The sequence below is a fragment of the Homo sapiens genome, chromosome 10 (genome assembly GCF_000001405.40).
Source record: "Homo sapiens chromosome 10, GRCh38.p14 Primary Assembly".
Classification (NCBI taxonomy): domain Eukaryota; kingdom Metazoa; phylum Chordata; class Mammalia; order Primates; family Hominidae; genus Homo; species Homo sapiens.
The window spans coordinates 94,222,968-94,235,109 of NC_000010.11; the positions used below are offsets into that span (position 1 = coordinate 94,222,968).

Here is a 12,142-nt window from a genome sequence, read left to right on the forward strand (position 1 = left end):
CATAGACTTCTTACTCTATGGAGAGGGCACAGCTGGACGACAGCCAGTGTGGAGCCTTCTGAAACCTGGGGTCCAGGGCAGGATCCTGATGGCATGGTCTCAGGGCAGTGCTGCCTAAAGGATGAGTAGGGTTCAATGAATAAAATGCCAGGCCGTGTGTGGTGGATCAACTGTAATGCCAATGCTATGGAAGCGGAAGCGGGAGGATCACTTGAGGCCAGAAGTTCAAGATCAGCCTGGGCAACATAGTGATACTCCATCTCTACAAAAAAAAAAAAAAAAAAATTGAATCTGGGGTGATGGGGAAGCCTTCCTGCAGAAGGAACAACCAGTTCAAGATTCCTGAGATGTTAAAAAGCCTACTTTACCTCCCTAAAAGGAGGGATATAGGGGAGAGGTGAGGTGATTGGAGAATGGACAGGGGCCTGGTGGGCCAAAGTAAAGATTTGGCTTTGCAGAGGACACAAGCAAGACATGGTGGACCAGGGAAAGGTCATTTTGAATGATGCAAGAAAATTCCTTCCAAAATGAGCATGTGTGACACCAATAAGGTATTTGATGTGAGGAGAGGGAGTAAACTGTTCTATTTGGCTAAGCCCAAGAGTACTGAGAAAAGCAAAAGGAAGGAAAAAAAGATATTTTGGGAGGGGCAGTTGTGGAGGAGTTGTGGGCATGGTCCAGGGGGTTATGATGTCAGGGTAAGCCCAGAACCTTCTGGGAGAGGTGCTTAAAGAATTGGGCTGGGGGCCAGATTCTCTCCTCATTCTGTGCTTACTATTGAAATAAGCAAAATAATCTGCTACCATTAACACCTTTCTGCTCTAGTAGCACTCCCTATGCCTAAACCATAGTACTTTATATTTATATGATTTTTTTGTTTTTCTGTGTGATTGCACAGAAATTCTTTCTGGATTGGCAACACATCCCATTTTCCACTTAGTAAATGTGACCACCTTTTATGCTTTGGTCAACATTTTGACATTTGTCACTGAATCTTCATTTCCTTTTTGTGTCATTTATTATTTTATAACTAGCGGTGGCCCTCTCACCATTTAATGCTTATAAAATTATGAATACATCAGACCATAATAAGAATTGTCCGTGAGGCTTGTAAACAGATGTTGGGGTGTGTGTGCGTGTGTGTGTGTGTGTGTGGTGTGTCTGTGTGTGTGTTTATGATAACAGTGCTTACATAATCTCAACAACCAGGGCCCTGGGGACTCACACTCGGCAATGGAACAGTTGGTTTAAATTAGGTTTCCATGTGAAATATGGTATCGCTGTTTTTTTCCTAGCATTGTGGGAAAGTATATGGAAAATGATTTGACTGATAGGAAATAAATCTGGATGAGTGATCAGGATTGTGACACAAACCAAGTGGTGGTCTCCACCTGCCCTGTGAAGCAGACCTCTCCAGGGGGAGGTGAGTTAACCCTTTCCAGCCACTGGACTAGTAAGTCAATGCATGGTATCAGAACAGCCTGAAAGAATGACAACTTTCCAGAGACCCTGATTTGCCATCAATTTCAACTAGAAAGGAGCTAAAGCCATAGAGACAATATAGCCAGAGGCCTCAACAACTAATGAGTTGGGTGGCTTTGAGAAACTGTTTTTTTACTTTTCAGGATCTCATTTTTATTTGTGAGAAGTGTTTGAATTTCCAACTCAAAGAGTCAGTAGGGTTATGATGCTAAGTGTTTGCTGATGGTTTCCCATTTTAGGATAGGGCTCATCAAAAGCCAGTCAGACTAAAGGAAGAATTAGATGGATGCACCAATGACTCAGTCTCTGTTAGCAAAATAATTTCTTGCTCTAGTGAGCCAGGGTTTCACAAAGGTGACTTTTAACCAAGGAATCAAGTGAGAGGACAGGCATGGAGACTGTGAGCAAGGGGTTACTCATAGCTGCAGGAGACGGGTCAGCACTAGGAATCCCAGACAGTTCCTGGGATGATGTGGACCAGGGTTTGTCCCAAGGGTCTGATTCCAGACCTGTTCTCCTGATGCCACCTGAGGGCCCAGTGAAGTCCAGTACAGATGGAGGGCAGAGGCACATGCTGGGAGCCCACTAGGCTCAGGACTGAGCTTGAGGGTGGCAGGTAGCCCAGCACGTTTTGCTTCAGTCTGTTTCAGAAGGGAAGAGGAAGATTATTAATTACTCCAGTGCCTCTGGCTCATACCAGAGAATAGACCTGTTTTATCACTAAAACTCCCTGTTGCTCTGATTTTCCTGTTTGTTTCTATGTAGGGATAGGAAAGAGGTGTGAGCAACCATTCATTTTGTTTTTTTCATCTCTTTAGTCATATTTTGGACTCTTCTCAGTATTTTCTCCTTTTATTCCTGCTCTGCCTTCACATATGCAGCTCAAAACTGAGTGCTTAGGAGGACCTACCCAGAGCCAAGTCTGAAAAAACTCACCTTTCGGCTGGGTGCGGTGGCTCACGCCCGTAATCCCAGCACTTTGGGAGGCCGAGGTGGGTGGATCACTTGAGGTCAGGAGTTCAAGACCAGCCTGGCCAACATGGTGAAACCCATCTCTACTAAAAATACAAAAATTAGCCGGGCGAGGTGGCAGGCCTTGTAATCCCAGTTACTCGAGGTTGCAGTGAGCCAAGATCATACCATTGCACTCCAGCCTGGGCAACGAAGCAAGATTCTGTCTAAAAAAGGAAGAAAGAAAGAAAGAAACTGTCAACTTTCACCAGATGAAAGAGCACTGGGCTGGGAGTCCTACTTTTGACATCAACAAGAATTGTGACCTTGAAAAGTCACTTCTCCCATGAGCCATAGATTCTCGATCTGGAAAAATGGGGTTGCACTGCCCTCTGTGGTTGCTGCCAGCACTCAATGCCATTAATTCTTATCATTTTATCCACTTACAGGCAGTATGCCATTGACCTTGAGCTCTTATTTCCTGCAGTTGTCATGGGTCACCATAAACTCTGTGTTCCGGCCTCTCTAACTTAGTCCAGAGAAAAGTGTTGCTGTCCAGGCTTCAGCACTGATGCTGAACCAAGCGGAGCTTGTAGGGCCATGTGAGGTCAAGACCAAGACTTTGGTCTGTTGACAACCAAGCTTATCAACCCAGATGCTAGTCAGGATAGAGAAGGTAACTTAGGTGGACACCAGCATCTAAGCACCAAAGTAAAGGTGGCAGCAAAATAATCATAGAGCAGAAGCAGATGATTTAGAGGCTGCATATCATAAGGGGAGGGTGTAGACATGGATTATTTTTAAATATTGTCCTCCAGTCTGTGTAGCAGGAAAAACGAATCACATTAGAATAACTTTAAGCCCAGAACTGAAGAACATTAGAGTTTGTGTAAACACATCAGGCATTTTGTGAGTGGTTGATAATGCAACCTCTGGAGAAGACACCCTAAGTTCAAACCTAGGCTTTGCTACCTTCAACGTGGTTGAAGACCTTACACACATCCCTGAGGACAGTAACAGTCCCTGACTCTTAGAATTGTTGTGAGAGATAAATGAGGTAATATAGGTAAAGTGCTTAGAATGGCTCCTGGCACATAATAAGTGCTCTATAAATATTTGTTCATAATATTTTGTCATTTGAGGGGCATAATAGATAAAGCATTTGTAAAAGATTGTTTAAAAATGTTTTTATTTTTCCTTTGATATTATGTATTTTAATACTTAGTAAATGTCTTTAACTGATGGGTTAAGTACATTTCATTTTAATGTCCATCAGTCAAATATCTTTCAATCAAAATTATCCTTAGGCCTTATTTTCTTATAGTCAAAAGAAATTTTTTCAATCAAAGGATTTTATGAATTGCCTTTTTCAGCCTTCTTGTTTTAAAGAAAATAAAGAGAGAGTTATAAGAGATTAAGGACCTATAGGTCTTTTTTTTTTTTTTTTTTTTTTTTTTGAGACAGAGCCTTGCTCTGTCACCCAGGCTGCAGTGCAGTGGTACAATCTCGGCTCGCTGCAACCTCTGCCTCTCGCTGCTCGCTGCAACCTTCAACCTTGAAGCTGAGGCAGGGTTCAAGCGATTCTCCTGCCTCAGCTTCCCAAGTAGTTGGAATTATAGGCGCCTGCCACCATGCCCAGCTAATTTTTGTATTTTTAGTAGAAACGGGCTTTCACCACGCTGGCCAGGCTGGTCTCAAACTCCTGACCTCAGGTGATTCGCCCACCTCAGCCTCCCAAAGTGCTGGGATTACAGGCGTGAACCACCACGCCCAGCCAGGACCTACAGGTCTTTCATTTCCTAATACCAAATTGATATTTTTAGAAAAACAAAGAATGCTTTTGGAAAAAAAAATTGCCAAGCTTCTAGGACATAATTCCCGTGAATGTCTCTGTGTGTTTTCCAGGTGAGCTCCTGGGTGACATGGCTGATCCTCACGGCAGGCTCCATGGAGGAGAAGCGAGAAGTCTTTTCATATTTGGTGCATGTGGCCAAATGCTGCTGGAACATGGGCAACTACAACGCTGTCATGGAGTTCTTGGCTGGCCTCAGGTATAGTCAGTGGGGAATATGGTTATCTTGGCACAATCGCTTCTCATCACCTGAATGGCACTGAATTAATTGTCCAGGGACTCACCTTTACCCAAGCCAGGTAACTGGAAATGATTAACTTGGGAAATGTATTATCTTCTTTCAGCACCAAAGGCCCTGTCCCTCAAAGATGCTGCAGAATTCAGCCCCTGTGGGCCAGTCACAATCCTACTTCACTGGGTCTGCTGTGATCCTGTGTTCTTTGCCAAGCCAAGTGAAATTACTTGGTTGCATAACCCGATCAACCCCACCACTGACTATTCCCCTTCCTGTCCTGTAAACCCCACTGTTATCTGTCTCTTTTCAGGCCTGCCTTATGTAGTGTTCCAGGGCTATATGCTATAGACCACCAACTGCCCTTAGTAATAACAGTGGCTAGCATTGACAATAGGCCTCCAATAATGTAAGCTCTCATTATTAACAAACACTATATGTCAAGTATGAGCTATGCACATTCCCTATATTGTATGTTTTAATTCTCAAAACAGGTTTATCAGGTAGATACTATTCTTATTCCCACATTATACAAAAGAGGAAGCTAAGGCTAAGAGAAATTAAGTCATTCACCCAAGGTCACCTGGCATTGCTGGGAATACAGGCAACCTTGGTTTCGGAGCCCATGAGCTTGACCACTATGATATCCTGTTCTTATGCTTTTTCCATCAAGCTAATAACAAAATCACCATTCTGTTCATCAGGTTGCCTGCTTTATCCCCTTTTAGCCTCAGCTACCTGGCATAAAGTAACTGTTCTTACTCCTGTGGGAGGCAGCATGGTATGTGAGGAAGAAGAGCATGAGTTCTTAAGTTAGAATCAAATTAGGAATCAAATCCTTATCCAGGAATCAAATCCTGATTCCCCCAAGGAATACCTGTGTGATCCAGGCAAGCTACTTGACTTCATTGAGCCTCAGTTACTTTGTCTGCAAAATGGGGATAATACTAAAAAGCACCTACATCTTTAGGTAGAATTCAGTGAAATAATATAGTATTTGACACATGTGCGTGGCGTATAGTAAGGCCTCATAAAGAGAAGCTATTGATATTGTTATTGCTTCCTGAGATTCACCATCCTCATGAGGGTTCTCACTATAAAGGAATGTTAGTTCATAACATTACTGAGATTTTTCTTTGATTCTCCAGGTCCCTAGGTAGGGATTCTGGGTTAGGGGAGGAGATGAAAACTCCCAGAGTTCTAATTTTTTTTTTGTCGTTTTCAACTTTCTTAACTTAGAATAAACCCAAATGATCATGTCCTTGACATTTAAAATAGTCATACAAATGCATCAGGCATGGCTCAAAAGAAGGAAAAAGTGGGGAGAAAAAAAAACAAAGCCTTGGAGAACAGGAGGTTATATCCAGATGATTTAGATTCTCTTTGTGATCAATTTTCTATAAAGAAAACGTGTAGGCCGGGCACGGTGGCTCATGCCTGTAATCCCAGCACTTTGGGAGGCCAAGGTGGGTAGATCACCTGAGGTCAGGAGTTTGAGACCAGCCTGGCCAACATGGTAAAACCCCATCTCTACTAAAAATACAAAAATTAGCTGGGCATGGTGGCAGGCGCCTGTAATCCCAGCTACTCAGGAGGCTGAGGCAGGAGAATCGCTTGAACCAGGAGGTGGAGGTTGCAGTGAGCCGAGATCATGCCATTGCGCTCCAGCCTGGGCAATAAGAGGGAAACTCTGTATCAAAAAACAAAACAAACAAACAAAAAAAAACAGAAAAAAGAAAATATGTATTACATTTCTTTTAAGAAAAGAATTATCATATTTTGATAAAGTCATTTTATTTTAATGATGCTTATCATTCTGTGTCTGGCAAGTTGGTGCTGGCTGTTGGCCAGGGACCTTGCTTCCTGACCCCACAACATGACTGCCATCACAGCACGGTGACTGGCTCCTTCTGAAGTGGGTGATCCAAGAGAGGGAGGCAGAGGCTGCAATGCCTTTTATATGATAGCCTTGGGAATCATACATAGTCACTCTTGCCATATTGTACTGATCACATAGGACAGCATGGATTCCTTGTGGGTGGGGACTGCACAAAGCCACAAAATCAGGAGATGTGGACCATGGGAGGCCGTCTTGGAGGCTGGCTGCCACATACCATGTTCTAGATTCTCTTATTACAGGAACGGCCTCAGAGTGACCTATGGAGGCCTAGAGTGAATGGGACTTTAAGATTCAACTGAGTTTAAATCCAAAATCCAAGAAGACCATAGAACCTGGTGATTTCCCTAAATGAGGAATAATCTCAAACCAGGACAGACCTCAACATTGATCCCAGTGCATTTTGTCTCACACCCCAGACCCACTGCTGCCTAGTTTCATGCTCCTATATTTGGCTTAAAACTAAACTGATCTTTACAGATAGATAGGCGAAAGTACCACGTATAATAGGTCTTTTGTTGACAGCTATTCTGTACACAGGAGATAAGTGGCCAGATACTCTTATGATGCAATGATTATGGAGGCAGAGCTTATATGTGCACTTTTAGGTTTGAAAGTGTTTAGGTTCCAAGCAATTAACTATTACCAACATAATAGAGATTTTTTTTATTTTTTAAGCAATTAAATGGGAAGAGAAAGCATACTTATTAAGTGACTTTGGTTTTTTTATGGACATTGTACATTTTGCTTCCTCTAACTAAATTCTTAGCTCTCTTAAGCCACTAGTAAGAAGTACAAATATTTACAATCAAGAGTATTTACTCAGTCATGGTGTCAGTTTAAAATAACCCAAATGAACAACAATAGGAAAATAGTTAAAGGAAATAATATGCTATATCCAGGTAATGGAATATTATATAGCCATCAAAAATGATGTTTATAAAAAACAAAATTTTTTTTTTAAACGGAGCCTCACCGTGTCGCCCAGGCTGGAGTGCAGTGGTGCAATCTTCGCTCACTGCAACCTCCACCTCCCAGATTTGAGCAATTCTCCGGCCTCACCCTCCCAAGTAGCTGGGATTACAGGCACGCCACCATGCCCTGCTAATTTTTTTGTATTTTTAGTAGAGATGGACTTTCAACATGTTGGCCAGGCTGATCTTTAACTCCTGACCTCAAGTGATCCACACGCCTCAGCCTCCCAAAGTGCTAGGATTACAGGCATGAGGTAAAAAACAATTTTTTAAGAGATAAGATCTCACTCTGTCACCCAGGCTGGAGTGCAGGAGCAAGATCATAGCTCACTGTAACCTCTTACCCTGGGCTCAAGTAATCCTCCCACTTTGGCTTCCAAGTAGCTAGGTCTACAAGGAGTGTACCAGCACAATGGCTATTTAAAAAAATTTTTTTAGAGATGGAGTCTTTCTATGTTTCCCAGGCTGGTCTGGAACTCCTGGCCTCAAGTGATCTCCCCTGCCTCAGCCTCCCAAAGTGCTGGGATTACAGGCATGAGCCACTGCACCTGGCCTGAAAAGTTTTTATATCATTGGAAAGCAGGAGACACATAATACATGAATCTATCTGGGAACAAAACTGTCTATCCCTAATAACCTCAGCAATATTTATATGCCCATATAGACAAGAATAGAAGAAATACTGAAAGAAAATATACCTAATGTCTGTGTGTGGTAGAATTGTAAGTGGGTTTTCTATATTTTTGATATTTTCTAGATTTTCTACAATGAGTAGTATCTTTATAATCATAAAGATGAATAAAAGTTTTAAAAATAGTTTCAATTCTCAATTCAACAATAAAGAATTGATCTTTGCTGAAGTTTGCCCTTTGCCCCCAAGTGAACCATAACTACTTCATTACTCACACAATAAGAAACCAGTGAGAACCATGTCTCATTCATTCATTCACTTCATTTGTTTGTAACCTCCACTTCATTCCCCAAAAAAGAATTCTCACTGTCTTATAAGAATCCAGTTATAGGACAAGCTGGATTTAGTGGGATGAAATCATAAAATGCTTTTACTTTTCTGATTTGATTGCCTTTCAAAGCTTCCAACTAGCTCTCCCTCCCTCAACCCTGGATTATGCTACATTGAGAGATCCTGTAGTTTTCCAGTCACTTTCCTAGTTAACACACAATCTCATTCTCCTATGCTCTTGAATATGAATGAGTCTTGCAAATTTAAGGCTGTATAAAAAAAAAAAAAGCAAGTTGTTTAAAACAGGGATCCCCAGCCTTTTTAGCATCAGAGACCAGTTTCATGGAAGACAATTTTTCCACAGACTCGGGGTGTGGGGGTGGGGGCAGATGGTTTTCAGATGAAACTGTTCCACATCAGATCATCAGGCATTAGATTCTCATAAGGAGCGTGCAACCTAGATCCCTTACATGCACAGTTCACAGTAGGGTTTGCGCTGCTATGAGAATCTAATGCCACTGCTGATCTGACAGCAGGCAGAGCTCAAGCTGTAATGCTTGCTTGCCCGCTGCTCATCTCCTGCTGTGCAGCCCAGTTCCTAACAGGCCATGAGCCAGTACTGGTCTGCGGCCCAGGGGTGGGGACCCCTGGTCTAAGACTATCTACCATGTGATACTATTTACATAAAGTTTAAAAATACACAATTCTGTAACTTGCTTAGTGATATATGCATATGTTGGAAAAGTATTAAGAATTTTAAGGAAAGGAGAACCCCAAAGTACCAGTGGTGGTCCTGTCTGGTGAGGGAAGAATAGAGTATGTGCTCTTGGAGGAATACACTAGGGCCTCAACCACATTGTTGATGTTTGATTTTTTAAACTGAGAGATTGGCACATGGGTGTTTGTCATGTTGTACTTCTTTATGTCTTTGGATGTCTTATATATTACACAGTGATTTTGTAACCCAGTTAATCTAAATCAAAATTTTAATATCTCATTCAATATATATCTTCTTCCCTTCCTTACGTTTCACAACCCAACCAGTCTCAGAGACTTGTAGTAGTGAGGAAGATAGAGTTTATCTTTTTTCTTCCTTTTCCCTGCAACTGGGTGTCTGCAGAAAAGAAGTGGACAGGAGAGGAGATGGGAAAGGATGGGGATAGAGGGAGCACAGAGTCTTACTTGATGGGGCAGTTGTAATCTGGCCTTGGTGCCCTCACAGAGACCAATGGAGGGTGCTTTTAGGTTTTCTTACTAGTTACTCTCTCTAATTTTTTCCATCTCCCCACTGCACAATTACCTAGCAAAATGCAGTGTACCCTCTGGTCAACCTCTTATTCCTCACCCCCTGGGGTCCTGTCCTCACAGGCCCTTTCTGCTAGGGTCGCCTCATTTGGCAGGCAGACCCTTCAAGACAGCTCAAGCCCCACCTCTTTGCACAGTATCCCCTCCTGACTCACAGGAAATAGTCAGCATGTTGCCCTCCCAACTCTGCAAGCACAGGACATATCTACTGGAATCCTCTCTCCCTTTGCCACCAGGGAGCTCCAGCTAGCCTCAAATCTTTAGGCAAGAGTCATGCACCAGTTCACGTGATCTACAGACTGCCCGGGACACAGGTCAATGTCCCCAGGGAATTCACTTACTGCCCCCTGCACTTGGGGTGACTTCATCCTCTCACAGAAAGGTGAGCTCTCCCACAATTCCCCCCAGAGAAATATTCCCAAGCTATCTGCTCAGATCCACTTTCTCTGCATGGGCTGAAAGAGAGTGGGAGACCACTGTGGGCAAAGCAGTTCAGGTAACACCTTGTGAGGGCCTCTCTTTAGAAGGTGTGGTGCATTGTCATCTGTGGGTCTCAGCAGGAGTTTCAGAATAGGGAAAGTCCCACTTAACATCCTGTAATGCAAATAATACTTTACAACAAGGTCCCCCAAAATGGGCTGGTGGCTTCATGTCAAAGCTTGATTCAGTAAAAATCAATTCTACAGAAGAGGTGAAAACAATGGGCTTCATGTTGATCACTAAGGGACTGGATTGATCCAAGAGTAATATTTAAAAGATCAAGAGGGCCAGATGGGCCAAGTTTCCCCAGGCAGTCCTCCTCCACCAATATCTGTACAAACCACATTACCCTCTACTTTCCCCTTTTGGCCATAGCTGCCAGAAAAACTCAAACCTACATTCAGTGCCCAGCTTCCATAACTAACGCGTCCCATATGCCTATTTGTGTTTGTATCTGTCCTATTTATTTTTCAGTTTCAATTTACAAAAGTATTATTCATATTATCTGGGGAAGTAGGTGGGGATAGGAACCCTACATAAATATTAACAAGTAAAGAATATTGGGGCTGGGCGCGGTGGCTCATGCCTGTAATCCCAGCACTTTGAGAGGCCGAGGCAGGTGGATCGCCTGAGGTCAGGAGTTCGAGACCAGCTTGGCCAACATGGCGAAACCCCGTCTCTACTAAAAATATAAAAATTAGCCAGGCATAGTGGCGCGCGCCTATAATCCCAGCTACTAGGGAGGCTGAGGCAGGAGAATCGCTTGAACCCAGGAGGCAGAGGTTGCAGTGAGCCAAGATCGCACCACTGCACTCCAGCCTGGGCAACAGAGTGAGACTCCACCTAAAAAAAAAAAATGGTAAAAAGAATGAATTTGTATGGAATTTAGGCTCCTTGCTGTAAACTATATTATTTCTCCTTCAGTCTGAAAAATGTCATTTACTTGCAATAGGTCAAGAAAAGTTTTAAAAATGTGGCAGTTCATGGACCAGTCTGATATTGAGACCATGAGGAGCCTGAAGGATGCTATGGCCCAGCATGAGTCCTCTTGTGAGTACAGAAAGGTGGTGACACGTGCCCTGCACATCCCTGGCTGTAAGGTGGTTCCATTCTGTGGGGTGTTTCTGAAGGAGCTCTGTGAAGTGCTTGACGGCGCCTCCGGTCTCATGAAGCTTTGCCCGCGGTACAATTCCCAAGAAGAAACTTTAGAGGTAAGGCCTTTCAGAATCATCGTGGCCTGAAGAGCCACTGTTGCTGGCTGTCTCATCAGGCCCTGTCTGTGCTCACCAAAGAAATGATCACTGATTGAACACAGGGTTAATAGTTGTTATATTATTTCTGGGTAGCACATAGATCCTTGGAAGTTCTGTAGAAAAGAATGCCAACTAGCGCTGTGTGGGACATAGTATTGTGAAGTTAGTTTTAATGTATTAGGTTTAATATGTAAGTACAAGTCAAAAAGGGTGTTGTTTTCTGATGGTTTTTAAAGATTGACAGGTTTTTCTTATTGGGTGGGAATGTCTGGATGCAGGGGATGAAGACAGTCAATTGAGAGTATTAAGTTTTCCACATCAGTGGAAGAAAAAAGAGGGGAAGTCAACACTGCTTTCTGTTCATCCTTTGTGGGAAAATGCTGGGGAGCCTGGAGACGCATGTAGAGACAAGCTCCAGGCTCCTGATCCTCAGAGCCTTGTTTCTCCCAGATCCATTGCCTCCTGTTCCTGATTCCCAGAGCAGAAGGGACAGTGTGAGCTTTGACCCAAGGCATTGGGCATTGGAGAGAAGGGGAGTTGAGAAACTGGAGGGAAAAGATAAGGAGGCTCCCTCCAAGGTGTTTAAAAATGAAAGAAGTGACTAAAATGGAAAGAACTTTATGGAGATTTTGAGAAGTCCCTTACCGGGGACCAAACCCAAATCTAGGATCATTCCTGCCATGATGACAGAACCTACTACTGACCTTTCACACACACACACACACACACACACACACACACACACAGAGTCATGT

At 43.1% G+C, this 12,142-nt stretch overlaps 1 protein-coding gene across 32 annotated transcripts in view; it reads left to right on the forward strand.

Moving 5' to 3' along the window:
• PLCE1 (phospholipase C epsilon 1) overlaps window positions 1-12,142 on the forward strand; it is a 338,893-nt gene that overhangs the window by 229,037 nt on the left and 97,714 nt on the right. For all 32 annotated transcript variants that reach the window (XM_047425285.1, XM_047425289.1, XM_047425297.1 and 29 more), the window contains 2 exons: window positions 4,339-4,484; window positions 11,087-11,345. In XM_047425285.1, the coding sequence (XP_047281241.1) occupies window positions 4,339-4,484; window positions 11,087-11,345 (405 nt within the window). The remainder of the gene's footprint in view (window positions 1-4,338; window positions 4,485-11,086; window positions 11,346-12,142) is intronic.